The 2867-nt window shown below is 46.0% G+C and overlaps 1 annotated feature.

Moving 5' to 3' along the window:
• Window positions 1897-2514: an enhancer, noted in NCBI's record as "OCT4-NANOG-H3K27ac hESC enhancer chr8:103203063-103203680 (GRCh37/hg19 assembly coordinates)". NCBI's record gives its function as "activates a minimal SCP1, AML or CMV promoter by ChIP-STARR-seq in primed H9 embryonic stem cells {active_cell/tissue: H9 hESC(primed)}" and the evidence as "EXISTENCE:reporter gene assay evidence [ECO:0000049][PMID:30033119]".

Below are 2867 nucleotides of genomic sequence, written 5' to 3'. Positions count from 1 at the left end.
AAATTACAGAGCTTATTCTATCCTGTAGCTCACACCTTTCACAAAACAGCCCATCAGAAGACAGTGAGACCATGTGCTCATCAAGCCAGGTGGCTGGAGTGGGAAGAGGCAGGCAGGATAAGAAATGCCCCTTTCCTGGCTTTAGGGTTTCATAACTGAGGAGGGCATGAAAGGAGGGGCACAGGCTCAAATGGAGGTATTACCAGGTATGCTAGGCTGAGACTAGGATTCAAAGTGTGTGGTGTGTGGAAAAGAGTACCAGGTTAGGAGTTACAAAGAGTAGCAAAGCGGAAAGATGAAATACTTTAGTCAGAAGAAGAATCTCAGTTCTATCATTTATTAGCCATGTGACCTTGAATGAGTTACTTAAGCCCCTCTGAACCTCAATTTTCTAATCTGTAAAATGGGAATATATATTGATCTGTGGTTTGAAGGAGTTGCAATATAGACAAGAGTCTGGATCTGAGTTGAGTGTAGAAAGGGAAGAGTGCTGGGAGAGAGAAGAGATGCATCAAATCCCAGTTTGTGGTTGGACTAGTCTTGGTGAGTTTTAATCCTGTGGTCAGCCCAGGTATCCTGAAAGCTGTTACTCTCAGGGTGCCACTGGATGCTTGTTTTATAAGAGCAGACTAAGGTCCCAAAAAGTCAAGAACCTTGCCCAAGTCCCATATAGAGCAGTAACTAGAACTAGAACTAGGTTATCAGCTTTAACCTTAAATCCTTCTTAATAAATTGGCTTTTAAAACTTGTTCTCAGCTGGTCATGGTGGTTCAAGCCTATAATCCCAACACTTTGGGAGGCCAAGGCAGGAGGATCACTTGAGCCCAGGAGTTCAAAATCAGCCTAGGCAACATAGGGAGAACCTGTCTCTACAAAATTTTACAAAAATTAACAGATATGGTGGTACACACCTGTGGTCCCACCTACTCAGGAGGCTGAGGTAGGAGGATTGCTTGGGCCCAGGAGGTTGAGGGTGCAGTGAGCCATGGTTGCACCGCTGCACTCTAGCCTGAGTAACAGAGTAAGACCCTTTCTCAATCAATCAATCAATCAATCAATCTCTCAGCCTCAGACTAGCCATGGGTAAAATGAGGTTAAAATGAATAAATTATAGGCCATATCCAGTCTCTGTGCCTTTCCTTTCTCCTTACCCTCTGAACCTCCTCAAATATGAGTTTTACTCACAGTTGGTGACATAGTTTGACTATATGTCCCTACCAAATCTCATGTTGAATTGTAATCCCCACTGTTGGAGGTGAGGCCTAGTGGGAGGTGTTTGGGTCATGGGGAAGATCCCTCATGGTTTGGTGCTGTCCTCCTGATAGTGAGTGAGTTCTCATGAGAGCTGGCCCCAACTCTCTCTTGTTCCTGCTCCCACAATGTGATGTGCAAGCTCCTGCTTTGCCTTCTGCTATAAGTAAAAGCTCCCAGAGTCCTCCCCAGAAGCTGAGCAAGTGCCAGCACCATGCTTCCTGTACAGCCTGTAGAACAGTGAACCAAATAAACCTCTTTTTAAAATAAATTACCAAGTCTCAGGTATTTCTTTATAGCAACACAAGAATGGCCTAACACAAAAAGTTGGTACTGGGAGTTGGGCATTGCTATGAAGATACCTGAAAATGTGGAAGCAGCTATAGAACTAGATAAGAGGCAGAAGTTGGAAGGGTTTGGAGGGCTCAGAAGAAGGCAGGAATATGAGGGAAAGATTGGAATTTCTTAGAGACTGGTTAATTCACTGTGACCAAAATGCTGATAGTGATATGGACAGTGAAGTCTAGGCTGCTGAGGTCTCAGATGGAAATGAAGATCTTATTAGGAAATAGAGCAAAGGTCACCCTGTTATGCCTTAGCAAAGATTTGGATGTATTGTGTCCATGCTCTAGGGATCTAGGGAAGTTTGAACTTGAGAGTGATGACCTAGAGTATCTGGTAGAAGAAATTTCTAAGCAGCAAAATATTCAAGATATGATCTGGCTGTTTCTAATAGCCTACATTCAGATGTGGGAGCAAATAAATAACCTAAAGTTGGAATTTATATTTAAAAGGGAAGCAGAGGGTAGAGGTATGGAAAATTTGCAGCCTGGACATGTGGTAGAAAAGAAAAGCCTGTTTTCAGGGGAAGAATCCAAGCAGGCTGTGGAGCAATCACTTGCTAGAGAGATTTGCATAACTAAGAAAGAGCCAGGTGCTGATAGCCAAGACAATGGGAGAAAAGGCCTTGAAGGCATTTTGGAGATCTCAGAGGCAGCCCCTCCCATCACAGGTCCAAAGGCCTAGGAGAGAATGGTTTTGGGGACCAGGCCCAGGGCCCTGCTGCTCTGTGCAGCCTCAGGACACTGTTCCCTACACCTAGGCAGCTCCAGCTACAGCCACAATTCAAAGGGATCCAGGTACAACTCGGGCCTCTGCTCTAGCTCCAGAGGGTGTAAGCAGTAAGGCTTGGCAGCTTCCACATGATGTTAAGCCTGTGGATCCACAGAATGCAAGAGTGAATAAGGCTTGGAAGGTTACCCCTAGATTTCAGAAGATGTATGAAAAAGCTTGGGTGCCCAGGCAGAAGCCTGCTGTAGGGGCAGAGCCCTCACAGATAACCTCTACTAGGGCAGTGCAGAGAGGAAATGTGGAGTTGGAGGCCCTTCACAGAGTCCCTACTGGGGCACTGCCTAGTGGAGCTGTGGGTAGAAGGCCACTGTCCTCCAGATCCCAGAATGGTAGATCCACCAGCAGCTTGCACTCTGCACCTGGAAAAGCCACAGGCTACCAACTCTAATTCATGAAAACAGCCATGGTGAGTAGACACCACAGAGACACAGGTGGGGGTGGAGTTGCCTAAGGCCTTAGGAGCCCACTTGTTGCAGCAATGTGCC

Source organism: Homo sapiens, chromosome 8, assembly GCF_000001405.40.
Source record: "Homo sapiens chromosome 8, GRCh38.p14 Primary Assembly".
NCBI lineage: Eukaryota > Metazoa > Chordata > Mammalia > Primates > Hominidae > Homo > Homo sapiens.
The sequence above is the reverse complement of the archived record's forward strand: the minus strand, read 5'-3'. Positions and strand labels throughout refer to the sequence as shown.